This window comes from Homo sapiens, chromosome 2, assembly GCF_000001405.40.
Source record: "Homo sapiens chromosome 2, GRCh38.p14 Primary Assembly".
NCBI classification, from domain to species: domain Eukaryota; kingdom Metazoa; phylum Chordata; class Mammalia; order Primates; family Hominidae; genus Homo; species Homo sapiens.
The window spans coordinates 69631032-69658449 of NC_000002.12; the positions used below are offsets into that span (position 1 = coordinate 69631032).

Genomic DNA, 27418 nt, shown 5'->3' on the forward strand with positions numbered 1-27418 from the left:
TTCCTGAATCAATCAGATTCACTGACCAGAGAAAATGAACCAAGGTACTAGCAGGAGACCTGCCATCTCAGTAAATGCTGCTCAGGCCCCAGTCCTCCAGGAAGGACCCAACCTACGATGCCTTAGTTCCATTCCTTCTTCCTGTCCCCATAGGTAATAAAGTCATCATTTTGTTCTCAAATTCATGCTCAGTACCAAAAGGACAATAATCTTTCTCTTACCCTAAAGGTCCCAGTACAATAGCTGTAAGTGTCCTTGAAAACATGCAGCAAACAAATTATGTGGCATTATGTTGCTTTCTACAGGATTCAAGTCCTAGATGACAGGCATCATTATTTAAGCTCATTATAACGACAAAAGATAATCTAGCATCAATGCTATGCTTAGCCTTCTATAATAATAATAGATACCATGAGCTCTTTGGTCCAATAATCTCTGTTTTTTGACAAAAATAACAAAGCTTCAGTTGGCACTGCCATTCCTTGTCTGCCAAGGTTAACACAGAGCCCAAGGAGAAAACTGACCAGCTCAAACTGATTCACCCACAGCAGACCTCAAATGAAACTTCAAATTTCAGGAACTTGTCCTCTGCCAAGGTGGAAGTCTCCTCCAAAAGGAATCCTCTTTCCTAACAATTACTTGTGACTCAACAGAAGTGGGATTGTTTTAAGGGTGCAGTGGCTCACACCTGTAATTCCAGCACTTTGGGAGGCTGAGGCAGGTGGATTGCTTGGGCCCAGGGGTTCAAGACCAGCCTGGGCAACATGGCAAAACTCCACCTCTACAAAAAATACAAAGATTAGCCAGGTGTGGTGGTGCGCACCTGTGGTCCCAGATATTCAGGAGGCTGAGGTGGAAGGATCGCTTGAGCCCGGGAGGCGGAGGTTGCAGGGAGCTGAGATCACCCCACTGGGTGACAAAGTGAGACCCTGTCTCAAAAATAAATAAAGTATACATAATAGGCTAAATAATAAAAATAATAGATCAATAATAATAAAAACAAAAAAGGGAGAAAGGAGGTATAAAATGCTACAGCCAGTATCACCTTACAAGCTAATAGTTTATCATTCCTGAGTGATTAAATTCACAGCAAATAAAAGGCTTTTTTGCTTTGGGTATAAACACAGAACATCTGAATTATTTATGTAGACCATTTTCTTCCTCAAAAAAGACCAAAAATATTGCAATACTTACTTCAACTTTACCAACAGAAGACCAGAACATATACAAACATGCTGAACTAGACATGTTCTCTAAAACAGGCAATTTTGCCCCACAGGTGACATTTAGCAATGTTGAGACATTTTTCATTGCCACAGTAGGCTGTGTATGTATTATATAATTCTGGCAACTAGTGGGTAGAGGCCATGGATACTGCTAAAGATCCCATAGTGCACAAGACAGCCCTCCACAACAAAGAGTTACCCAGACCAAAATGTTAGTAGTGCCAAGGTAGCACAAATGACTGTTGACCAATGTGGGAAGAGACAGTAGTTGGGAGTTGCTCAGAAGGGCCTAATTGGCGGTGTGACTTTAGGCAAATCACCTAATTTTCAAATTTGTTTTCTTAGAATCAATGAACTAGCGCCAGGCGCGATGGCTCACGCCTGTAATCCCAACACTTTGGGAGACCAAGGCAGGCAGATCACGAGGTCAGGAGATCGAGACCATCCTGGCTAACATGGTGAAACCCCGTCTCTACTAAAAATACAAAAAAAAAAGCCGGGCACGGTGGCTTACGCCTGTAATCCCAGCACTTTGGGAGGCCGAGGCGAGTGGATCACGAGGTCGGGAGATCGAGACCGTCCTGGCTATCACGGTGAAACCCCGTCTCTACTAAAAATGCAAAAAATTAGCCGGGCATGGTGGTGGGCACCTGTAGTCCCAGCTACTCGGGAGGCTGAGGCAGGAGAATGGTGTGAACCCGGGAGGCAGAGCTCGCAGTGAGCCAAGATCAGGCCACTGCACTACAGCCTGGGTGACAGAGCAAGACTCCGTCTCAATAAAAAAAATAAATAAAAATAAAAAAATTAAAAAAAATTAGCCAGGCATGGTGGCAGGCACCTGTAGTCCCAGCTACTCAGCCGACAGGCAGGAGAATGGCATGAACCCGGGAGGTGGAGCTTGCAGTGAGCCGAGATCGCGCCACTGCACTCCAGCCTGGGCAACAGAGTGAGACTCTGTTTCAAAAAAAAAAAAAGGCCCCAAGAAAAAAGAGAAAGAAAACAGGCAAAAAGAGGTCCCAGAAAGCAGCAGTCCCTTCCACTGCTGACATCAAGAAGTCAGCAGTGCCAGGCACGGTGGCTCACGCCTGTAATCCCAGCACTTTGGGAGGCCAAGGTGGGTGGATCATGAGGTCAGGAGATCGAGACCATCCTGGTCAACATGGTGAAACCCCATCTCTACTAAAAACACAAAAATTAGCTGGGCATGGTGGTACGCGCCTGCAGTACCAGCTACTTGGGAGACTGAGGCAGGAGAATCTCTTGAACCCGGGAGGCAGAGGTTGCAGTGAGCCAAGATCGCACCACTGTACTCCAGCCTGGCGACAGAATGAGACGCTGTCTCAAAAAAAAAAAAAAAAAACTCAGTAGTCTGTAGCCCAGAAGAGGGCCCTGACTAGAACCTGACCATCCTGGTACTCTGATCTTGGACTTCATAGCCTCCAGAGCTGTGGGAAATAAATTTCTATTGTTTATAGGCTACCTAGTTTCTGATATTTTGTTACAGCAGCCCAGAGGAACTAAGCCAGTAAGCAACCTTCAAATGCTATGGAAGCATTATCTGACTTGAAAAGCTCACAGGGAGATTCAGCTGGGAAGGGTTGGTTATTAAAGGTCAACAATGTTATGAGAGGGCCGGGCACAGTGGCTCACGCCTGTAATCCCACCACTTTGGGAGGCTGAGGCAGGTGGATCACTTGAGGTCAGGAGTTCAAGACCAGCCTGGCTAACATGGTGAAACCCTACCTCTACTAAAAATACAAAAATTAGCTGGGTGTGGTGGCACATGCCTATAGTTCCAGCTACTCGAGAGGCTGAGGCAGGAGAATTGCTTAAATCTGAGAGGCAGAGGTTGCAGTGAGCCAAGATTGTGCCACTGCACTCTAGCCTGGGCGACAGCAAGACTCTGTCTGAAAAATATATATATAAAAAGAATGTTATGAGAAAAGATACTGATGATCCTTTGTACAAGGAAGAATTTTAAGGAAGAATCCTATACTTGTAGCTAGGAGCCTCGGGTTCAAGTTCATTCACTGCTACTTCTTGCCAATATGACTTTGAAGAAGTCATTCAACCAATGTCAGCCACTGCTTCCTCATCTGTACAGCTGGAGTAATAACCATGCTTTCTACCTCTGCAGGGATGACGCAATCACAAAATGAGAGTATGTAGATATAAGGCTATTTCGCATAAGAGCAGCTTGTCCTGCCAGTGAAAGAGGCAGCAAGGTTTTACTAAGCATCTCATATGTTCTCTGTCTGAGATGCTATGGCAAACAGAGAAGTAATGGAAGACTCGGCTCCTGTCCTGCTAGTTGGCATGATATGACCAACACACAAGAAACAACTGAACCCCAAAAGGCAATTACATATCTCTTGCAGTGATGGGGTCTGTGGTGTAGTCTCTAAGCTATGGGTTTGAAGGAAGGAGATCAGAGAGGACTGCAATGGTTATGAAAGATTTCATGAAGACAGACTATTCTTAACTGAGTCTTTTCTCTGTAACCTCACCTTCATGGAACCTTGCTGCATCTAGTTCACCATCTTTACCTATGTTCTAGTTTTCTCTTAGTAAAGTTAAAGTAAGTATTGCAATATTTTTGGTCTTTTTTTGAGGAACAAAAAATGGTACAGAACCACTGCTCTAGACTACAATGGTCTCAAAACAGTAGTGTACAAGATGACAATGCACTGGGGTAGACAAAGAAAATAAAAGATCCTCTATTTTTATTTATTTTCATTTTAAAAAGTAAGATTTTCCAAGTAAAAAGGCAACCCACAGAATGTGAGAAAATATCTGCAAATCATGTATCTGATAAGGAATTGATACCCAGAATATACAGAGAACTCCTAAAATAACAACCCAATTCAAAAATGGGCAAAGGACTTAAATAGACATTTTCCAAAGAAGATATACAAATAGCTAATAAACACATAACAAGATGCGTGACATCACAAATTACTAGGGAAATACAAATCAAAAGTATAAGAAGATACCACCTCACATCCATTAGGATAGCCACTGTCACAAAACAGAAAACAAGTGTCGGTGAGAATGAGGAATAACTGGAACCTTTGTGCACTGTTGATGGGAATGAAACATGGGTACAGCCGCTATGGAAAACAATGTGGCAATTCCTTAAAAAATTAAAAATAGGATTACCATATGACCTAGCAATTGCATTTCTGAGTATATACCCAAAAGAACGCAGGGTCTTGAAGAGATATTTGTACATCCATGTTCATAACTGTAGCAACATTATTCACAATAGCTAAAAGGTGGAAGCAACCCAGTGTCCACTGATGAATGATACATGTGGCATATATATACAATGGCATATTCCTGAACCTTAAACAGGAAGGAAATTCTGACACATGGTACAAAACAAATGAACCTTGAGGACATTATGCTAAGTGAAATAAGCCAATGACAAAAGGCCAAATACAGTAATATTCCACTTATATGAGGTATTCAACGTAGTAAAAATCATAGAGACAGTAAGTGGAGCGCTGGTTGCCAGAGGCTAGAGAGAGGTGGGAATGAGAGTTGTCATTTAATAGGTACAATTTCAGTTTTACAAGATGAAAAGAGTTATGGGAATGGATGGTGGTGATGGTTGCATATTATGAATATATTTAACACCTAGACGTACATTTAAAAATGATTAAGATAATACATTTTAGGTTATGTGTATTTTACATTTAAAAATTTAGAAAAAATAAGATTTTGTCCTTGTTAATATATAACATATGGCCCAACACTAGCACTCCCATTCAGTCAATGTTCAGTCACATGTCCACTATTGAGGGCTGATGGGGTGACATCTTTATAGCACACTGAGATATACTATAGTTCATGTGTGCTTGGTTAAATGGATTCACTGATTACATTATTTTAAATTAATTAATCATCACAAAACAAACTAGAGGCTTAAAAAGATTTCTACTAAAAAAAAACCTTGGATTAAAGATAATGCAATCAAAAATGAACAAGAGAATGGCAGAGCTGTCATATCTATTCCTGGCATACTCTTCATACATAGTCACACTGCAATGTAGACACAATCACAATTGAATAAGTTAACCAAAATCTTGTTGAGATTATTTAAAATATAGATTTGCATCCACTATCATTTATGATGAACTTCATCCTAAGTATATAATGTGACTTCAGATATTAGCTAATGATAGCAGGACATGAATATAACTTACAAATAAACAAGCACACATACATGAAGATATGGCATGTTTTTTAACTAGAGCACTATTCTATCCAAAAAGTTTAGAGACTACTGCTCTAGACCAACACTGCCAGAACTTGTGATGATGAAATACATCTCACCTGTGCTGTCCAAAACTGTAAGCACTAGCCACATGTGACTATTAAGCAATCAAAATGTGGCTAGTGCATCTGATGAACTGCTATTTTAGATAATTTATTTTTTCTTTTTCTTTTTTTTTTTTGAGACGGAGACTCACTCTGTCACCCAGGCTGGAGTACAGTGGCAGGATCTTGGCTCACTGCAACCTCTGCCTCCCGGATTCAAGCGATTCTGCTGCCTTAGCCTCCCAAGTAGCTGGAATTACAGGTAGCCGCCACCACGCCCGGCTAATTTTTGTGTGTTTACTAGAGACGAGGTTTCACCATGTTGGCCAGGCTGGTCTCAAACTCCTGACCTCAGGTGATCCATCTGCCTCAGCCTCCCAAAGTGTTGGGATTACAGGCATGAGCCACTGCACCCGGCCTATTTTAGATAATTTAAATAGCCATATGTGGCTAGTGGGCTACTTTATTGAACAGCACAGCCCTGGGCCACTAGTAGATTATCGCTATCTCAAAACATACAGCTCCCCAGTAAGCAGTTATTTTTCTGCTTTTGTGTCTTTGGCCATGTTATTCTCTCTGCCTAGAATGTTCTTCTACCTTGTCCATCTAGCAATAAGTTCTCATTTTTGAAGACACACCTCAAATGTCACCTTTCTTTAGCTTTCCCTGACTACTCCCCAACCCACAAAATTGTTGCCTTGGGTCTGTTCCCCAGCTCTTTTACATGACTCCAGCGCAGCATCTGCAGCTATTTGCTCACATATCTGAAATCCTATGACTGTGAGGTCCTCAAGGCACAGCCATGTCTCATTTATCTCCGCATGATGCCTGGCACATAATGAATGCTCAGTAACATTTACTGAATAAGGGAGTGAATGAACTGACAAACCTTGATCTCCCAATTCATAATGCAGTGTTCTTTCCACCACACCAAAATATGGCTCCATAAAATAGACCGGAGGCAAGTCTCTGCTAGCTCACAGTGCTAGATGCTACTTTAATAGACAATACGTTTCTATTATTATCATTTTTTTCTCTTTCAGATGCGGATGTCACAGTTACCTCATAAGTAGGCTCAGAAGGCATGCATCCTTGAAAGGGTGCAAGATGAAGGTGGTACTAGTCCCCTTTCCGAAGCGTCAACATTCAAATATTGCAAGTTAAAATGACGGCTCTGATGCAGTAATATTTTTTGTGTGTTTTGTTAATATTTATCAAACCTTTCTTGTGTACTCTACATGGCGTTTTAGCTACCAGGGTACAAGTGTATGTCTCCCCTCATACCCTCCCACTCAAAAGTCACGTGAAACTGCTGCTCTCTCTTCATCATTATTTGTTATTAAATGAGCTTTACTTTGTTAGAAAGACTGAAAGAAAGAGTTTGACCATGGCAATTGCTTATTCTGGACTTCATTTCTGAATTCTAGATTTGGCTATATTTAGCAAAGCTACAACCGTCATCATGCCCAAAGCCAGGAAGAAGACACCATTCACAAACCACCCCCTGAAAATCTGCAGTTGCCTCTAAAAAACCAGACTTCCCAGCAGGCAAAGACATCTGAAGTGGGAGGGATCAAATTGGTGTTTGCGTCAAGAGAAGGTCTCAGGTGCTTATAACTAAATCTCTCTGCCTGGCACTCAAGATTCTCCATAAAATTAGTCCTTCCTTTTCTCTCCAATGTACCTTCTGCTCTGGTCAAACACCTTCAATATCTCCCCTGTTCATACCTTTCGGTAACACTGGTCATTTCCCTTCCCTGCCTGCTTTTGCTTAAGCTTCTAGCCTCTTATCAAACCTTCTGGGACCACTCTTTCCCCAGACACTCGCTGCTCCCTTTCCCCACAATTGGCACGGGGCTGAGGCACAGGAGGGGAGCCGTGCATTCTTGGTACCTATTCATCAGTCTTTCAAAAGGCCCAGGGCCACTGAAGAAAGTGAGTAGCAAGCACCTCCAGGGAGCAACTTAAAGAATTTCATTCTACCACTCCGTGTCCTCTGTCCTTCTTTCCTTGATTCTGGGGAGGAAATGTGTACTGATGAAAATGGTAACACTAAACTAGTCAGTATTCTCAAAATTTATCATGCTGTTTCACCACTTTGCCTATACTATTCTCTCAGCCTGAGAGGTCCTGAGTAACCCCCATCTGGAACATCTGCTGGGCAATTTCTATTCCTGTTCAAACTTCATGTCACCTATGAACTCTCACCCCCAGGCTCTTTATCATAACATCTTTTACCATCTAAGGTATGTATGTCAAAGGCCACGCTTAAGTGCTGGACACTTATCTCAGGTGTTGAGCTCTGTTAAGAGTCAGGCCTGTGTCCCATTCATCTTAGGATCTCTGGAACCTAATACAGTGCCTGCCACAAAGAGGCACGTACGTGTATCATATTGATACCACCAACATATTATGTGCCTTTAATGGAATTTTTGGTGATTTCACACACATTTTTAAGCCTTACTAGTTTGCTCTGTAGGTAGGAGAAATTATCAAAGTTTACTGATGTGGACATTTGGTACTTCTCATCAGCCTTGGACCTGGATTCCTTGAATATAAATTAGAAAGCTGTTCTGAGGAGCCATCTAGTCCACCTTATAGTTCCAGAATGTTGTCTTCAACACAGTAATAAATAAACATTTATTGTTTAAAGCTTAGATATAAGTCCTCGTATAGCTAAGGAAGTATGATAAAAGCACAGCTTCTCAATCCTTCTTTGAACATTGCTCCAATTTTCCCATTGAGCTCATTCTGGAAGCTTAAACCAAATCTTCCCTTGATATCATATGCCCATTAACTTAGACATGATTTAGCTTCTCATCATGGCATCTTTGCTGAGAAAGCTAGAAAGAAAATATTCTCCCTGGCACCCAGCCTAGAAATAGCCATATTCCTCTAAACTCATAACTTAAAGCCTTCACTTCCCCCAAACAGCCCCTGCTGGACTAGTTAGTGAAACCAGGCCAGGAAGGCTGATGCTACCAGGGGAGGTATGGCAGTGCGACATCTTTTTGTCTTACCCAGCACCTGCTCCTTGGGGTTCTTGCAATTCCTTATGAAAAAGCACAGACCAATACCCACGCTAGAGAAAAAGAGATCATCAGCGGAATGTGGTGGTAATCTGGTCTGTGTTTTGAAGCCTCTCACACCACTCCTCCCTAAACTGCCTAGCCACCGCTCTGGGCACACAGGGTACAACTCCTGTGGTCCTTAAACAACTCTGGCTAGAACTGTAGATAAGTCAGCACTCGGGGACTCACAGAGAAGAGAGTCCAGGGAAGGAGCATGGCTACCCAAAACGTCTGTTAAGCCTTTAAGGAGCTGGTGAGGACTCTGCAAAGAACATCTGGCTCTGTCCCCTAACAATGGGGGAAAGGAATTGCTTCAGATTGCTGCAGCTCAACTAGCTTTCACATTGCTCCCACTCCCCTTTAACACACACACACACACACACACACACACACACACACACACTCTCTCTCTCTCTCTCTCTCTCTCTCCCCCCCCACATATATACATATGATGTATAACGTTGCTGGTAAGTAATGGCTACCATTTATTGAACACCTGAAAATGTTAATTATATATATTGCCTCATTTAATCTTCATGACCAGCCCATTAAGCAGTGGTTCTCAAACTTGACCTTGCGTCAGAATCTCTCCAGGAACTTATTAAGCCCCACACCCACAGCCTACAGAGTGAGGCCTGAGAATCTCCATTTCCAACAAGCTCGCAGGTGATAAGTATGCCCCACTTTGAGAACCACTGCCACAGGGAAACAGAGATTCAAGAGTGGTTTGGAATGTCTTGCCTACAGTTCCACAGCTAGTAAAGAACAGATCCAGAATTTGAACCTAGATCTGTCTGACTCTACAGACAGTGCTGGTAACCATGCTACTGTATGTGTGAATGTATGCCTCATCTTCCCAAATTCATTGGCAGATCCTTAAAGGCAGATGTCAATCACACTATAGACCTCCCTCATCCATCTCAGAACTTCATAGGGTCTTTGGACTTGGTAGGTGCTACATAAATACTTTGTATACTGGCTCCTACATATCTACATACTTCTAAGAGCCACAAATTCAAACTCAACTTAAGCCAAAGAACACAAAAAGGGCGCATAGCCAGACCCAGTTTTACGTGACATTCTCTCTCGCTACTCTGTCTTTGCCCATGGTGCCACCACACTAACTCCTACTCACTCTTCAGTCACTTCCTTCAGAAATCCTGGGCTCCCTAAAACTGGGGGCCACTGCACCCTAAGTTTATCTCTATGATGGCATTTACCAATCCACTATAACTGGCTATTTTCCATCTCTTAAAGCAGTTGGTAAAAGCTAGCATCTAGTTTAACAGTATACCCCCAGAGCCTAGCACAGCACCTGGCACTTCACAGGCAACTCCATAAACTGTTGAATGAATAAATGCAGAGCTACAAGTCCTAAATTCTGTGTAAAAATATCACAATACGTGATGCGCAGTTCTCAAAGATGAATCCCAGAGAAGAGGAAGGCAGCCTAGGTAACAAAGACCAATTTTGCCTTTTCTTTTCCCTATCACTTCTCTCACACTTGGAGAACATGCACCGCTTAGGGCAGCATCATCCGTGATGAGACAACATCCTAGCTGAACAAAACGCTCGTGGGCTATAAGGTCAGCAGAGGCCATTCAGAGGGGAGGAAAGTGTTCTGTGGCCCTTCGTTTCTCCTGATTTCTCTCTGACACACTCTCCTTTTCACTGTTTCTCCACCCCACTGCAGTTAAGGGCTTTGGCACAGGGATGAAAGAGACAGATCAGACTCAAGGGTGCGGATCTGGCAGCGGGCACAGAAGCATCTCCTAGCCTGCACCAAAGTCCACGGGAAAGATCCAAGGGGACAGTGACTCTGGCCCCAGATAAAGCGCAGCTAGAACAGTACTGAGATTGGAAGAGCAATAATTTCACATGGACATTAACTGTCAGAGATCTTTTTTAAAAATCATGTTTTTAAAGTACAGACTTCAACTCTATTCCCAGAAAACTGGGCCCTGCTGAATCCAGTGCTTACACAAGCTGAGAGCCAAACACAGCTTCTTCCTCTTCCAAACCCACCCACCAGCCCGCAACATCCACCATGGTAAGCATTTCCCAGGCCCAGGTCAGGACCCTTGCTTCAACTTTAGCTTGCAAAAGGCCCCTTTTTAAAGAGGCCTCTTAGCTTTCTCTCTTCCCTTGCTAATAAAACTGTTCCCTACCATCACCATGTTGCAGTAAGAGAGACCTCTCCCTTCTTCCAACCCCTCTCGGTCTATAACACAACCTACAGCAGGTTGGCCCCATCCAATCAGTCTGAATTGCTTCATGCCAAGGAAATTGCTGCTTTTATTAAAAATAAAAGCACACTAGGCAGGCGAAGGGCTGTGAAAAGTATGAGTCTGGCATAATTATGAAGGTCGAGGTTAAGGTTACCAAAAGAGACATGCAAAGATTTCCCGAAAGCCTGGGGGAATCAAGATGTATATCTACGTGAGTATAGACACACAGATGAAACACAGAGGGAATTTATGCAGCAGATCTAAATAACATCCTCTCTGATAGCGAAAAAACAAAATCAGAGCCACTCTCAAGTAATTTTTCTTTTGATTAAAAAAACAAAAAACAAAACCTAAAGCGAGAAGGAAGAGGGGCCTACTAGACTGAGTTCAAAATAACCACATTTGTTTTATGTAATTTCTGTTATCTTTGCTATAACCTGGGGACCTGATTACAGTTGGGTCAGGAAACAAATCTACTAGTGAAATCCACCAAGAGCCTTGGCCCTTGGAAAAACACGTTCACGTTCTCCGAAAATCCTCTCTTCCTTCCAATGCCTGCTCATGGAAGTGGGAAAGTTGGGTAGGAGAAGGAGAAACCCCTCTCTTCTTAAAAGTCCCCCCACCCTTCAGCCTTCACATCAAGATTTTAAGTTTTAGGAGGATGACAAGCCCATCACCCTGCCTTTGGCATAAAGCTTTACACTTTCACACATACGTTTTCTTGTGTGATCCTCAAAATTTGGCTTCTCAATATTAAAAAAATAAAAATAAAAGGCCACTAACGTAAACAATTTCGGCAACCTCCCCACACCCCCATAAGCCCAGTCACTTTCAAATCTCAATTTTAAATCTCTCAAGGACAATGACTCACAGGGCAAGTGAAGGGGGAAGGGAGGGTCAACTGGTCAAAGCCCATTCATACATGCAACAACTAGAAACCACAGTATTGCCGCATCAGCACAAGATTTTAATTTACGGCGCATTGAGCCCCACCGTACCTTCCGCCAACACCTCGTCCACTGTGACCTGCTGTCGCCCGATGCCGAAGACTCTTCCGATGTAGCCACTGCCCAGGCCCGAGGTGCTGCCCCCTCCTCCGCTGGAGCCGGAGCCCAGGCCAGAGCCGCCCTGCTCTCGCCGGGAGTCGAAAAACTTCTTCATCTTGCGAATAGGGAGCAGCAAAGCAAAATACCGATGGTTTCTAGATTTTTTTTTTTTTTTTTTTTTTTTAAGAAAAGAGATCCAAGGATTTCTTCTCAGATTTCACCTCGGAGAGGAGCCACCCGAATCCGGCCGTGGGGGTGGGGGCTGAGGGAGGATGCCTATAGGAATATGCGTGTCAATCGCGCAGCGGGTCCCCTCCTCCTCCAGAAAGCGATTCGTGTAAGTTTAAACCTGTGATGACAGAGGAAGAAAGAGAGGATGAATCAGTAACACGCTTAAAAATTCAACCGCTGAGTCCTAGGGGGAGCAAAAGCCATCATCCTGGGGAAACGCTTCATGTATTTTCCCGGCGAGAAAAACCGTGGGGCTGAAAACGCGACCCCGGCCCCAGAACCCGGGACCCCCGAGCCGGGAGCTCGGAGAAAGGAGGGATCCGAGCTGCTCCGGCAGCGCCGACCCTCCCGGGCACTGCCTCCCGCTCCTCCCGGGTCTCCCCGCCGCCCCTCGAGGCGGCATCCTGGCAGCACCCACTTGAGACGGCTCGGCGGCCGGCGCCCTGCTACCAGCCCCGCGACATTGTCACGGCCGCCGGGCCGGCCTGCGACGCAGAGAAGAGGCGGCGCTGCAGCGAGAGCCGGGGCCGCGCTCGGCTCCCGCCCGCCCGCCAGCTGATCCCGGGAGCGCCGGGCGGAGACTGACCCGCCGCCCCTCCCCCGCGCGCGCTCCCGCCCGGCTCCATCCACCCAACCAGGAAGTGAACCGCCGCCGGAAGTGCCCCTCGGGGCGGCGCGGCGAGGGACCGGGGCCTCTCCTGCAACCGCCGTTCTGTCGCCACGGATGGGAAGGAGTCGACCGCGAGAAGAGGACTGGGGGAAGAGGGTCTCAGTGCAGACAGAGTTCTGGAAAAGACTGTTGATATCACCCGAGCCGCAGGGCAAGCTGGGAAAGGTAGCTCGGCACAGTCCGGCTGCTGGACTACAAATCCCAGCATACTCCTGGAGGAGAGGGCGAGGCGGCAGCCGTGTGGCCTCCACGGCCTCGAAGGAGATTTGTGGGGTGGCGCGTATGTGGGGACTCGGCAATTTAAACACATCCCGTGAAGAAACTGCCAACAACTAAGTTCCCCCCCCCCCCCCCCCGCTGTATGTTCCACCCTTCTGGAGCCATCTTATTTGCGGCCTGGCCTCCTGGCACAAGGGATTCTGGAGGTTGTGGTTTCCGAACGGATCGAGACTGACACCTGAAGGACGCGGCTTAACCGCTTAGCCCCTAGCGGGTCCTGTGGGTTTCCCGACGTCTCCTGGGCTGAAATGGAAGCGAGAAGTGATCGGGAACATTGTGCTGGCAGTTGGATCCGGCTGCACCGAGCGCCAGCCTTGAAATAAGTAAAACCGATGCCCTTCCGCCCCTAACCTCAAAAGCTGCTTTTGCGTCTCGATGTTATTGAGAGCCGGCTCTGCGGTCAGCTCTGAGCTAGGCGCTGTGAGAACGCTCAGTAAGACAGTGTCTCGTCTGGAAATGTACAGGCGAGATTCAAACCGAGAAACTGCCAAAGGTTGTGTGCAGGGCAGATCCTAGGATACCGGAGACCCAGCCCGTTGGCTTGACCTCAAAACTCGGGGGCTTTTCGGCCCATGCTGTCCCTTAATTCCTCCTCCTTTGCTGACGCTGTGGGTGCGCATCAAAGCCTAAACTTCACTAGCTCCCTTGCACACAAGAACACTAACCCTAACCTGACCAGTTATTTATTTTTCACTTCAAGATTCTTCCATTGATACTTACGTTTCCCTGATACCGTCCAAGTGCTGAGGGCGGGGATGGACTGTGTGATTTGCATCTGCCAAATGCAGAAAATTTGGAAGGTCAGTTGGTACACTTTTCCGACCTAGATTTCCTGATGGATGATGCTGAAGAGTGGCAAGTTGCTGCCAAAAACAAACAAAAAAACCTACCATGATTTATTAATATTATTTTTCTAACCCCTGAATATGGGTTATTGTTCATCTCTGCCCGCTTTCCCCACTCCCTAGTGCTTGTCTCAGAATTTTTTTTTCAGCGGGTATTTGAGTAGAGAAGGGTGTCCCAGGGAAAAAAATGGTTCTTGCTTTCTCTAATCTGAATATTGAGCTGAGCTGTGACTGGGTTAACAGTAGCGTTTGTTGTTGCTGCTGCTGCAGCTTGTTTCAAGTAGTGCCATTGTAATTAAACTCCGTGAAGAGATAGCATCTTTTCTTCCGGAGAGAGTCAGTGTTGTCACCTCAGTTCACGAATTCATGTAGCCACCTCCAGGGTGAAATGCAGCCCCTATTCCCTCAAACTAAGCCCACGAAGGCATGTTCTCTGCACTTTCCTTAAAAGGCCAGATTTTTGTCTGAGGAAGTTTGAAGCAGATCTTAAAATAGATGAGAAAGCTCATTTGGAATTAGACTCATTGACCCCCATTTCTCTCAGCACTTATTTGTCTTGACTGACTTTTTTAAACAAGCTGTGCTAGGTCCTAAAATCAATCTGATGCTATCTCAGTTTTTACCTTTCTAGACTTCTCTGGTACCAGACTAGTCCAGGCTTACACAAATCTCAAGTCTTACTTCAGTGATACAAAAACTCCCAATATGCTTAAGGTAGCTAACATGCATTTATTTAACACCCACGTGAATGCTCTGATCAGAAGCTGAGGGAAGAGGTTTAAAAAACAAAAAACATGACTAGATTCCTTGCCCTCCATTCCCTCACAGACTAATAGCAATTATAATGACAAATCCACAGTTTTTCATGCTTTACATATATTAAGTATATAATGCTCACAACCACCCTATGAAGTAAAGTACCATTATTATACTCATTTTATAGGTGGGTAAGTAAAGCAAAGAGATTAGTGACTTGCCCAAAGTCACACAGTAAATAGCAAAGCCAGGATTCAAACCCAAACATTTTAGTTTCAAAGCCCAGTTCTTACCTGGCTATACTAAACTGTCTACTTAGAGAGAGCAAACATTAACTGATTAAAAGACTCGTGAATAGTTAGAAACCCACGCACAAGCAGCATAGGACCAGGAGACAGGAAACCTCTTGCCACTTCATAGCTGGGATCCTAGACCACTTGTGTCACTGGGCTTATTATCTCAGCTATAAAACCAGAGCTCTTACAACTCTTAGTAATTTTTTAGTTCCTGAGTACAAAATAATGAACAGATCAGCCACTATAATCTCAAAACTATCACACTTTCTGTATAATTTGTCCCATGCTGCTTTGCATTCCTGTTCAACTTTTAATGTATATTGCTGTCTCAACCAAACACCTCAAAGCCAGAGAACCATCTTCTACTTATCTCCTTGGGCATCCAGTATAATAGTTTACATAGAGTGTGTTCTTAGCAGTACTTAAAGTAAATAATTTACTTTAAATGTGACACAAAACAGAGCTATCTGATTAAGGTGGAAAGATTGATTTGAAGTATCCTAGATGAATTTTGAACTAGGTGTGGAAGATGCTATGGGTAAATAGTCAAAGGGAGTGGGAAAAGAAAGTGCCATTTACTATTGTTACAATAGTGATCATATGACCGATGGAACAGACTCTTTGAGGCAATAAGATGCCAAATTATAAACAAGACCTAAGGCTGTGTCAGGCAAGGGTTAAGTCACACATCCCTACACTTGAAGAGTAAACCATCTTCTAACTGCCACAAGGTTTTTCTTTTTCTCTGGTAGCTAAATAGACACTGGCCTGGAGATAAGCAATATTGAATCAATTGTAGCTCACTGACCACTAGATGCTGACTAACTGTATCCCCCCAACCCCTGTTCCACAAACCATAACTATTTCTTTGATTGGACAAGAGACTGATTTCAGTAACATCCTAGTAAGAGACTACCAACCACAGACTGGTTCTGGCTGGTTTTCAGAGGCTGTGCACTGAGTGTCTTCATGTCCTTTGCTTCACCTAATTGTAATGCATTTAAATGTTAAATCTCCACCCCAAAGAGAACATAGGACATATGTAACATGCATGTTTGCTCACTATGCATGCATGTGCTGCCCCCCGCTTTGTGAATAATCAAAGCTCCTGTAACTTAAGTGTGTATTCTTAGCCAACTCATTTGGCATAAATTTGTGTTCCACTTTTTCCTCCCTCTAAATACCTGCTTTCAGTCTCTGCCAGAGTCTACACTTCCCAGCCTGTCAGGATCACCAGCCTGCAGGCTGCAACCCTTTATAAAAAGTAAAGCTCCCCTCTCCAAATTTATAAACCTTGGGATTCTTCAGTTAACACTATGTATCTTCCATATGCCAGTTATGGAATTTAAAAAATATATATATATTGTTTTATTGTTTTATTTTTATTTTATTTATTTATTTATTTATTTATTTATTTATTTTTTGAGACAGAGTCTCACTCTGTAGCTCAAGTTGTAGTGCAGTGGCGTGATCTCGTCTCACTGCAACCTCTGCCTCCCAGGCTCCAGCGATTCTTGTGCCTCAGCCTCCCGAGTAGCGGGGACTACAGGTGTGTGCCACCATGCCTGGCTAATTTTTTGTATTTTAGTAGAGACAGGGTTTCACCATGTTGCCCAGGGTGGTCTTGAACTCCTGAGCTCAGGCCATCCACCCACCTTGGCCTCCCAAAATGCTGGGATTACAGGCATGAGCCACCACGCCCAGCCACTTTTTAAAAAAAATAATTATATAAAAAATAGAGATGGGGTCTTGCTTTGTTGCCCAGGCTGACCTCAAACTCCTGGACTCAGGTGATCCTCCCACCTCAGCCTCCCAAAGTGCTGAGATTACAGATGTGAGCCACCGTGCCTGACTGATATTATTTTATTTAATCTTCATGGTTGCCTACAAAGTAGACAGTATTATCTATTTTATCAAAGAAAATACTGTTACACTATTATTCCCAATTTTATAGATGAACAATGAAGATTTTGTTAGTAGCAGATGAACATGTATGGTTTGTTAAGTTTGAAGGAAATGATTTGACCTGTGGTACACCTAAATCATGTTACCATAAACCCAGTGTGCTGTATCTTTGAGGAAATCAAAGGAAAGGGGACCACCATTAATTAAAATCCTTAACTGAGTCAAGCACTATGTTGGGTATTTAATCATACCATTTAACCCTCACAATACATCTATGAAGTGTGCATTACTTTTATTGGTGTGGAAACAGAGGCTGAGCAGGATTAGAGTCTGTCAACTATTTCTACAAAACATCTTAAAAAGGGCAGAGCCAAGACTGACCTCAAAACCCACATCATTTTCATTACACCATATGGGCTTTCTATGTTGCCGTCTTTTAGCGAAGTGGAACTTGTTAGAAATGCAAATTTTGGGGCCCCATCCAGACCTACTGAGTAAGAGGGAGGGGCAGAGGCAGCAGTTTCTGTTCACAAACCTTTCAGGTAATTCTAATACACATTCAAGTTTGAGAACCACTGTTTAGCAGAAGCGAACTTGTAAGAACCATGTCCTTTTTAAAAAAATGACAGTTCTTGCCCAGGCATGCTGGCTCATGCCCGTAATCCCAACACTTTGGGAGGCCGAGGCAGGTGGATCACTTGAGGTCAGGACTTCAAGACCAGCCTGGCCAACATGGTGAAACCCCGTCTCTATTAAAAATACAAAAATTAGCCGGGCATGGTGGCATGCACCTGTAATACCAGCTCGGGAGGCTGAGGCATGAGAATCACTTTAACCCAGGAGGCGGAGCTTGCAGTGAGCCGAGAGTGCACCACTGCACTCCATCTGGGGAGACAGAGTAAGACTCAGTCTCAAAAAAAAAAAAAAAAAAAAAAGACGTTTCTTGATTTTTTTAATTTTTAATTTTCTTTCTTTCTTTTCTTTTTTTTTTTTTTTGAGATGGAGTTTTGCTCTGTTACCCAGGCTGGAGTGCAATGGCACAATCTTGGCTCACCGCAACCTCCGCCTCCCAGGTTCAAGCGATTCTCCTGCCTCAGCCTTCCTGAGTAGCAGGGATTACAGGCATGTGCCACCACGCCTAGCTAATTTTGCATTTTTAGTAGAGATGGGGTTTCTCCATGTTGGTCAGGCTGGTCTCGAGCTCTCAACCTCAGGTGATCTGCCCACCTCAGCCTCCCAAAGTGCTGGGATTACAGGTGTGAGCCACCGCGCCCAGCCTAATTTTCTCTTTTAAACTGAGCCTTGTCTTCTTATTTTCCAGTTGATTTTGGTTTTGGATTTTGTTTAAGAAAGTAATTATGTGCTCATTGAAGAAAGTAGATAGAAGAAAATAAAAATCAGCTATAATTCTACCACTCAGCGATAATTGCTATTGACATTTTGATCAATTTCCTTTTAGCATGTTTCCATATATAAGTACCTTTTTTACTATATTAGATCACATTATATATTTATATTTTATTTTTTTCATTCCATAGTTTCCTATTTCATTGTATATTCTCTAAAAATATTCTTTTAGTAGTTGCTTAGTAATCAGTGCTTTACTGTCAAATGTTTTATTTTTAAATGTTACTTTTTATATGATTAGAATGAATATTCTCTTGTATTCTCTTGTGTGCTTCTTTGATTTTCTTTCTTTTTTTTTTTTTTTTTTTTTTTTTTAAGACAGTGTCTCGCCCTACCGCCCAGGCTGGAGTGCAGTGGCACAACCTCAGCTCACTGCAGCCTCGACCTCCTGGGCTCAAGCAATCCTCTCACCTTAGCCTTCTGAGTAGCTGGAACTACAGGCTCACACCACCACGTCTGGCTTTTTATTTTTTTATTTTTTTATTTTTGTAGAGACAGGGTTTCACCATGTTGCCGAGGCTGGTCTTGGACTCCTGAACTCAAGCAATCCACCCGCATCAGCCTCCCAAACTGCTGGGATTAAAGGTGTGAGCCACTGTGCCTGGCCTGATTTTTTTTTTTTTTTTTTTTTTTTTTTTTGAGACGGAGTCTCACTCTGTCTTCCATGCCGGAGTGTAATGGCACAATCTCGGCTGACTGCAGCCACCACCTCCCGGGTTCAAGAGATTCTCCCACCTCAGCCTCTTGAATAGCTGGGATTACAAGCACCCGCCATCATGCCCGGCTAATTTTTGTATTTTTTGTAGACACAGGGTTTCACCATGTTGGCCAGGCTGGTCTTGAACTCCTGACCTCAGGTGATCCACTCACCTCAGCCTCCCAAAGTGCTGGGATTACAGGCATGAGCCACCGTGCTTGGCCCCATGATTTTCTTTCTAAGGCTACGTTGTTATAAATGGAATAATTAGGTCAAAAGGTATGAATGTTTTTACAGCTAGAGAGCCAAAGTACCCTCCAGGAGATTGATATTGATTTGTTCTCCATTCACTGATCCAGTAAACAAATATTTATTAAGCACCATGTGCTAGACTTTAGAAAGTTTATTACAATAAACAAAATAGTTACACTCCTTGCCTTCAAGGAGCTTTTGGTGGTTTTTGTATCCTTTTTTTTTTCTTTGAGACAGGGTCTTGCTCTGTCACCCAGGCTGGAGTGCAGTGGCATGATCATAACCTGAGGCTTTCAAGGGATCCACCCACCTCAGCTTCCTGTATAACTGGTGCACAGCACCACAGCCAGCTAATTATTTCTTAATTTTTTGTAGAGACAGGGTGTTTCTATGTTGCCTAGTCTGATCTTGAACTCCTGGCCTCAAGCAATCCTCCTCCCTCGGCCTCCCAAAGGCTTGGGATTACAGGCATAGCCACTGTGCCCAGCTAGAGCTTTTGATCTTAAAAGAAGGCATTAAATCCTAAGTATTTCCATACCCTTGCCAGCACTGAGTTTGTGCAGTTTAAAAAGAAATCGATTTCATTTTGTTAGGTAGGAATGGTGTTTTTTGTTGTCATTGTTTAAATTAGTGAGGCTGAACAATTTTTCTTGTTCATTTATTTATTCATCAGTTGTTTATTAAGAATCTGTTATATACCAAAACAATGCTAGGCACTGGAAATATGATAAAGAAGATGGACATGTGTTTTCCTTCACAGAGTTTATAATGTAGTAATTATTGGTTGTGTATATTTCTTCATTTCTAAATTGTATCCTCTTCCATTTTTCCATTGGAGCATTTATTTTTAAGAATTGATTTGAGAGTGTTCCTTTATTCAATCAGTATGTAGTGAACTACCATGTACTAAACAATATGGTGCAAAACAAACAGATGAGGAAAAGAACAGGTGAGGATGTTAGCCAGGCATGGTTCCATGTGCCTAGAGTCCTACCCACTTGGGAGAATGAGGCGAGAGGATTGCTTCAGCCCAGGAACTTGAGGTTGCAGTAAACTATGATCACACCACTGCACTCCACCCTAGGGGACAGAGCAAGACGTATTTTTGTTTTCTTAGAGATTTTCATTACCTTGTCTAGTTTCTTTTGATTCTTACTTGCCTTACTGCCAGCTCTTCCTTTTTACCTCAATCTGTATACTTCATATATTACCTGTTTTTTAGTATCCATTTGTCTTGTTGTTGTTGTTGTTGTTTTTGAGACAGAGTCTCGCTCTGTCGCCCAGGCTGGAGTGCAGTGGCGCAATCTCGGCTCACTGCAAGCTCCGCCTCCCGGGTTCACGCCATTCTCCTGCCTCGGCCTCCGGAGTAGCTGGGACTACAGGCTCCCACCACCACGCCCAGCTAATTTTTTGTATTTTTAGTAGAGACAGCGTTTCACCATGTTAGTCAAGATGGTCTCAATCTCCTGACGTCGTGATCCCCCCATCTCGGCCTCCCAAAGTGGTGGGATTACAGGCGTGAGCCACCGCGCCCGGCTTTTTTTTTTTTTTTTTGGGGGGGGGGGGCGGGGAGACAGAGTCTCACTCTGTTGACCAGGCTGGAGTGCAGTGGCGTGATCTCAGCTCATTCCAGCCTCAACTTCCTGGGTTCAAGCAATCCTGCCTCAGCCTCCAAAAGTGCTGGGATTACAGGCGTAAACCCCCATATTCTCGGCCTTTTTATTGAATTTTTATTGCAAACATAAAGTAGTTTTGTTTTTTGTTTTTTAGATGGAGTCTCACTCTATCACCCAGGCTAGAGGGCAGTGGCACAATCTCAGCTCCCTGCAACCTCTGCCTCCCAGGTTCAACAGATTCTCCTGCCTCAGCCTCCCAAGAAGCCGGGACTACAGGCCTATGCCCAGCTAATTTTCTGTATTTTTAGTAGAGACAGGGTTTTGCCATGTTGGCAAGCCTGGCCTCGAACTCCTCACCTCAAATGATCCACTCGCCTCAGACTCTCAAAGTGCTGGGATTACAGGCGTGAGCTACCACGCCCAGCCTCTTCCTCATCTTGAGTGCTGTGTTTTCTTTTTATATGCTGTAGAATCTTCTCATAAACCTATGAGGTGGTTGTAATTTTTTTCTGTTTACTCATCCTTAGATGAGCAGTGTTGCTATGAGTCAATCTTTTTCTTTTAAAGACTTTTAATAGGTTGTTGGGAGAAGCTTAGGGATCTCTAGTCAGATGACTTCTTAAATTAGAACTTAAGACTTTTCATTTTGAAAACCGGTTGTGCTGACTGGAATGGGCACATTAAAGAATTGAACTAAGGCTGGGCGCGGTGGCTCATACCTGTAATCCCAGCACTTTGGGAGGCTGAGGCAGGCAGATCACGTGAGGTCAGGCTTTCGAGACCAGTCTGGCCAACAAAGCGAAAACCCGTCTCTACTAAAAATACAAAAATTAGTCAGGCATGGTGGCAGGTGCCTGTAATCCCAGCTACTCAGGAGGCTGAGGCAGGAGAATCAGTTGAACCCAGGATGCGGAGGTTGTGGTGAACCCAGACAGTGCCACTGCACCCCAGCCTGGGCGACAGAGCAAGATTTCGTCCCCCACAAAAAGGAAAGAATTTAGCTAAGACGTCTTTGTTATACTTGACATAAAATATAGAGTGGGGTTCCTGAAATGGTCAGGGAATATTCCTGGCCTAACCTTAGTGAGACATGTATTCTTAAGATCTTTCTCCCTTAGTTCACAGCCTCTTAGTTGGATGCCCCTGTGTCACAGAACACATTTTGGCTATGGGGTGTGATCTGTGTCTGAGGAACAACAAGAAGCTACACGTCATCCACACAGGAGCCAAATCTGGAACTCTGGTCTCAGTTCTTCAGGACTATTTGAGCGAATAATCACTCAACACTGGAGTAAAGGATGTTCTACTAGAAGTCTTATTCTGACTCCTAAAACCACGCTACCGAAAGTGTTGATCCACAAACCAGTGCCAGTGCTTGAACTTTGTTACTGGTCCACAGTTAGGTAAGTACAGAAATGGAGAATAAATGTGAAGTATGCGTAAATGATATATGATTTACAGTCCAATTGAGATGCTTCAGGAGTGAAAGTGGGGACAATGAAAATTATGCTAGGACAAAAATCATTAACTGGACTGTCCAGGTAAACTGGAACATATACTCACCTCATCCTTAGATTTCACTAGCAGTAGAGTCCTGGGGACACAGGAACCAAATGCCCTCCTGCATTTCTCCATTCCTGAGAGGAAAATACCCTAATTCCTGAATCCCAGCCTCCACATACTTCTTAGGATAGCCTAGCAATTACCCCTGGGCCCCTTGTGACACCATTTCCTAAACCAGCCCTGGAAACTCACTTATGATTGGACACTATGTCTTGCCCTCTTGCCTAAGCTGAGAACTCTTAAAAATGACTGTCTTTCCCCTAGAGGGTATTTTGGAGGGCCAGGCACCAGTCCTTAGCCATGCCTCCTTGTGAAGTTTTAAAATATGATGCTTGGTTCCATATGAAATTTAAAGTAGTTTTTTCTAATTCTGTGAAGAAAGCCAATGGAAGCTTGATGGGGATAACATTGGATCTATACATTACTTTGGGCAGTATGACCATTTTCACAATATTGATTCTTTCTATCTATGAGCATGGAATGTTTTTCCATTTGTTTGTGTCCTCTCTTATTTCCTTGAGCAATGGTTTGTAGTTCTCCTTGAAGAGGTCCTTCACATCCCTTATAAGTTGTATACCCAGGTATTTTATTCTCTTAGTAGCAATTGTGAATGGGAGTTCACTCATGATTTGGCTCTCTGTTTGTCTATTATTGGTGTATAGGAATGCTTGTGATTTTTGCACATTGATTTTGTATCCTGAGACTTTGCTGAAGTTGCTTATCAGCTTAAGGAGATTTTGGGCTGAGACAATGGGGTTTTCTAAATATACAATCATGTCGTCTGCAAACAGAGACAATTTGACTTCCTCTCTTTCTATTTGAATACTCTTTATTTCTTTCTATTGCCTGATTGCCCTGGCCAGAACTTCCAATACTATGTTGAATAGGAGCGGTGAGAGAGGGCATCCTTGTCTTGTGCCGGTTTTCAAAGGGAATGCTTCCAGCTTTTGCCCATTCAATATGATATTGGGTGTGGGTTTGTCATAAATGGCTCTTATTATTTTGAGATACATTCCGTCAATACCTAGTTTATTGAGAGTTTTTAGCATGAAGGGGTGTTGAAATTTATTGAAGGCCCTTTCTGCATGTATTGAGATAATCATGTAGTTTTTGTCATTGGTTCTGTTTATGTGATGGATTATGTTTATTGACTTGCATATGTTGAACCAGCCTTGCATCCCAGGGATGAAGCTGACTTGATCATGGCAGATAAGCTTTTTGATATGCTGCTGGATTCGGTTTGCCAGTATTTTATTGAGGAATTTTGGATAGCCAAGACAATCCTAAGCAAAAAGAACAAAGCTGGAGGCATCGCACTACCTGGCTTCAAACTATACTACAAGGCTACAGTAACCAAAACAGCATAGTACTGGTACCAAAACAGATATATAGACCAATGGAACAGAACAGAGGCCTCAGAAATAACACCACACATCTACAACCATCTGATCTTTGACAAACCTGACAAAAACAAGCAATGGGGAAAGGATTCCCTATTTAATAAATGGCGATGGGAAAACTGGCTAGCCATATGCAGAAAACAGAAACTGGACCCCTTCCTTACACCTTATACAAAAATGAACTCAAGATGGATTAAAGACTTAAATGTAAGACCTAAAACCATAAAAACCCTAGAAGAAAACCTACGCAATACCATTCAGGACAGAGGCCTGGGTAAAGACTTCATGACTATAACACCAAAAGCAATGGCAACAAAAGCCAAAATTGACAAATGGGATCTAATTAAACTAAAGAGTTTCTGCACAGCAAAAGAAACTGTCATCAGAGTGAACAGGCAACCTAGAGAATGGGAGAAAATTTTTGCAATCTATCCATCTGACCAAGGGCTAATACCCAGAATCTGCAAGGAACTCAAACAAATTTACAAGAAAAAAACAGACAACCCAATCAAAAAGTGAGCAAAGGATATGAACAGATACTTCTCAAAAGAAGACATTTATGTAGCCAAAAAACATATGAAAAAAAGCTCATCATCACTGGTCATTAGAGAAATGTAAATCAAAACCACAATGAGATACCATCTCATGCCAGTTAGAATGGCGATCATTAAAAAGTCAGGAAACAACAGATGCAGGAGAGGATGTGGAGAAAGAGCAACGGTTTTACACTGTTGGTGGGAGTGTTAATTAGTTCTACCATTGTGGAAGACAGTGTGGCGATTCCAAAAGGATCTAGAACCAGAAATACCATTTGACCCAGCAATCCCATTACTGAGTATATACCCAAAGGATTGTAAATCATTCCACTTTAAAGACACATGCACACATATGTTTATTGCGGCACTGTTCACAATAGCAAAGACTTGGAACCAATCCAAATGCCCATCAGTGATAGACTAGATAAAGAAAATGTGGCACATATACACCATGGAATACTGTGCAGTCATAAAAAAGATGAGTTCATGTCCTTTGCAGGAACATGGATGAAGCTGGAAACCATCATTCTCAAAACTAACACAGGAACAGAAAACCAAACACCACATGTTCTCACTCGTAAGTGGGAGTTGAACAATGAGAACACATGGACACAGGGAGGGGAACATCACACACTGGGGCCTGTCAGTGGGTAGGGAGCTAAGGGAGGGATAGCGTTAGAAGAAATACCTAATGTAGATGATGGGTTGATGGGTCCAGCAAACCACCATGGCATGTGTATACCTATGTAACAAACCTGCACGTTATGCATATGTATCCCAGCACTTAAAGTATAATTAAAATATATATACGTATATATATATATATACACACACATATATATGTATATATGTATATATATACGTATATATATGTATATACGTATATATATGTATATACGTATATATATACATATATGTATATATATGTATATATGTATATATATGTATATATATGTGTATATATATGTGTATATATGTGTATATATATGTGTATATATGTGTATATATATGTGTATATATATGTATATATATGTATATATATATGTGTGTGTATATATATATATGATACTTGGTCATAACCGCTGAACTACTGAATACAGTATTGACCCCAGTTCATTAGAAACTTCAGAGTTTAGTGCTTCTCTGCACATATTTTCCAAATACAGTAGTTCCTTTTTTTTTTTTTTTTTTTGAGATGGAGTCTTGCTCTATCCCCCAGGATGGAGTTTAGCGGCCTGATTTCCGCTCACTGCAACCTCCACCTCCTGGGTTCAAGCTGTTCTCCCTAAGCCTCCTGAGTAACTGAGACTACAGGCATGCGCCACCACACCCAACTAATTTTTGTATTTTTAGTAGAGATGGGGTTTCACCATGTTGGCCAGGCTGGTCTTGTACTCCTGACCTCAGGTGATCTGCCTGCCTCAGTCTCCTCAAGTGCTGAGATTACAGGTGTGAGCCACTGGGCCTGCTCATTAGTTCTTGCTGGTGTAACAGGAGGGCAGAGATTAGGCCACAGTAGAAATCTACAGCCTTTCAGCTGGAAACAACTGTGAAATATCATACACTGTGAGCTATTATAGTGGCTTTACAATGTTTTTACTGATATAATCACTATATTCATTTTTTTTTTTTTTTTGAGGTGGAGTCTCTCTGTCACCAAGGCTGGAGTACAGTGGCGCAATCTCAGCACACTGCAACCTCCACCTCCTGGGTTCAAGCAATTCTCCTGGCTCAGCCTCCCGAGTAGCTGGCATTACAGGCACCCGCCACCATGCCCAGCTAATTTTTGTATTTTTAGTAGAAACGGAGTTTCACTGTTTTGGCCAGGCTGGTCTCAAACTCCTGACCTTGTGATCCACCCACCTCGACCTCCCAAAGTGCTAGGATTTACAAGCATGAGCCACCGTGCCCAGCACACTACATTAATTTTTAACACCTTGTACTCGCTCATATATTTTAAAGTTGACATATAGAAATTTTCATCACAACTCTAAATAATTACAAAGGATATTTCTGGCATCTTATAAATACTGATATTATAAAATAAAACTTACATTACTATTTTTAATGTACGCAATGGAGACTAAATACCACATATTCGATGGACTATATTCACCATCATCCTACTTATTCTCCAACAGTTAGAAATTTCACATTATTGCTTTTTCTTCTAGAACATATATTTTTGCCTCCCCAAATATTTTATTCTAAAGTAATAATTTTATGCTGGGAATTCATTTATTGATTTTATATTATAATTCTCTACAACAACATATGGATATACATGTAAATTTAAGCTTTTAACTTCCTGTGAGTATAAGTCTCTAAGTGTTAAAATTTTTCTTCTGGATTGATTTATGCTACTTATTAACTTTATACAATTGATTAGAACAGTATATGTATAATACAAATTTTGATAAACACAAAAAATAAAAATATATTGGAAATGCATTTATTCACAAGATGAATGGGGATTTAAAAATTTTTGTTCACTAATTCTATCAATTCCATGCCTATTTAAAAATTTTTTATAGATATAAGCATTGGGGAAACTTGTTCAATATATAAGTGGATGAGGCTTGAAGAAGTTCCCTTTAATACTATTACTTTTTTCTTTGCACTCCTGAAATATACGCAAAAATACTCAAAGGTTTTATTCTCAAAAATTATTCTTAATAATGTATCAACTTTAACTTGAACGATCCTCTTTAAATTCTGTCAAAAGCAAAAAAAAATAGGCGGGGCACAGTGGCACACACCTGTAATCCCAGCACTTTGAAAGGCTGAGGCAGGAGGATCACTTGAGCCTGGGAGTTAGAGACCAGCCTGGCCAACATGGCAAAACCCTGTCTCTATTAAAAATACAAAAAAATTAGCTTGGCGTGGTGGCACACTCCCGTAATCCCAGCTACTTGGGAGGCTGAGGCAGGAGAATTGCTTGAGCCTGGGAGGCAGAGGCTGCAGTGAGCTGAGATCACCCCACTGCACTCCAGCCTCGGTGACAGAGCAAGGTTCTGTCTCAAAAAAAAAAAAAAAAAAGCAAACAATAGAAGCCGCTCCTTGCAGACATT

At 42.8% G+C, this 27418-nt stretch overlaps 2 protein-coding genes across 12 annotated transcripts in view, besides 3 other annotated features; one reads left to right on the plus strand and one right to left on the minus strand.

The window, feature by feature from the left end:
* Positions 1–12708, minus strand: part of AAK1 (AP2 associated kinase 1) — a 185743-nt gene extending 173035 nt beyond the window's left edge. For 4 of the 5 annotated variants that reach the window (NM_001371577.1, NM_001426746.1, NM_014911.5 and 1 more), the window contains exons 1-2: positions 12544–12708; positions 11847–12243 (exon numbers count right to left, since the gene is read on the minus strand). In NM_001371577.1, the coding sequence (NP_001358506.1) occupies positions 11847–12009 (163 nt within the window). In that variant the 5' untranslated portion in view covers positions 12010–12243; positions 12544–12708. The remainder of the gene's footprint in view (positions 1–11846; positions 12244–12543) is intronic. The other variant, NM_001371575.1, reaches the window with a different exon arrangement.
* Positions 12457–12786: a silencer, noted in NCBI's record as "silent region_11597". NCBI's record gives its function as "represses an Ori minimal core promoter by ATAC-STARR-seq in GM12878 lymphoblastoid cells {active_cell/tissue: GM12878}" and the evidence as "EXISTENCE:reporter gene assay evidence [ECO:0000049][PMID:35858748]".
* The window catches only part of ANXA4 (annexin A4), a 183305-nt gene continuing 168663 nt past the window's right edge, over positions 12777–27418 (plus strand). For all 7 annotated transcript variants that reach the window (XM_047444083.1, XM_017003943.2, XM_024452835.2 and 4 more), the window contains exons 1-2: positions 12777–13874; positions 21967–22251. The gene's annotated coding sequence lies outside the window, so the exon portion shown is untranslated. The remainder of the gene's footprint in view (positions 13875–21966; positions 22252–27418) is intronic.
* Positions 12867–13136: an enhancer, noted in NCBI's record as "active region_15975". NCBI's record gives its function as "activates an Ori minimal core promoter by ATAC-STARR-seq in GM12878 lymphoblastoid cells {active_cell/tissue: GM12878}" and the evidence as "EXISTENCE:reporter gene assay evidence [ECO:0000049][PMID:35858748]".
* Positions 13892–14494: an enhancer, noted in NCBI's record as "NANOG-H3K4me1 hESC enhancer chr2:69872055-69872657 (GRCh37/hg19 assembly coordinates)". NCBI's record gives its function as "activates a minimal SCP1, AML or CMV promoter by ChIP-STARR-seq in naive H9 embryonic stem cells {active_cell/tissue: H9 hESC(naive)}" and the evidence as "EXISTENCE:reporter gene assay evidence [ECO:0000049][PMID:30033119]".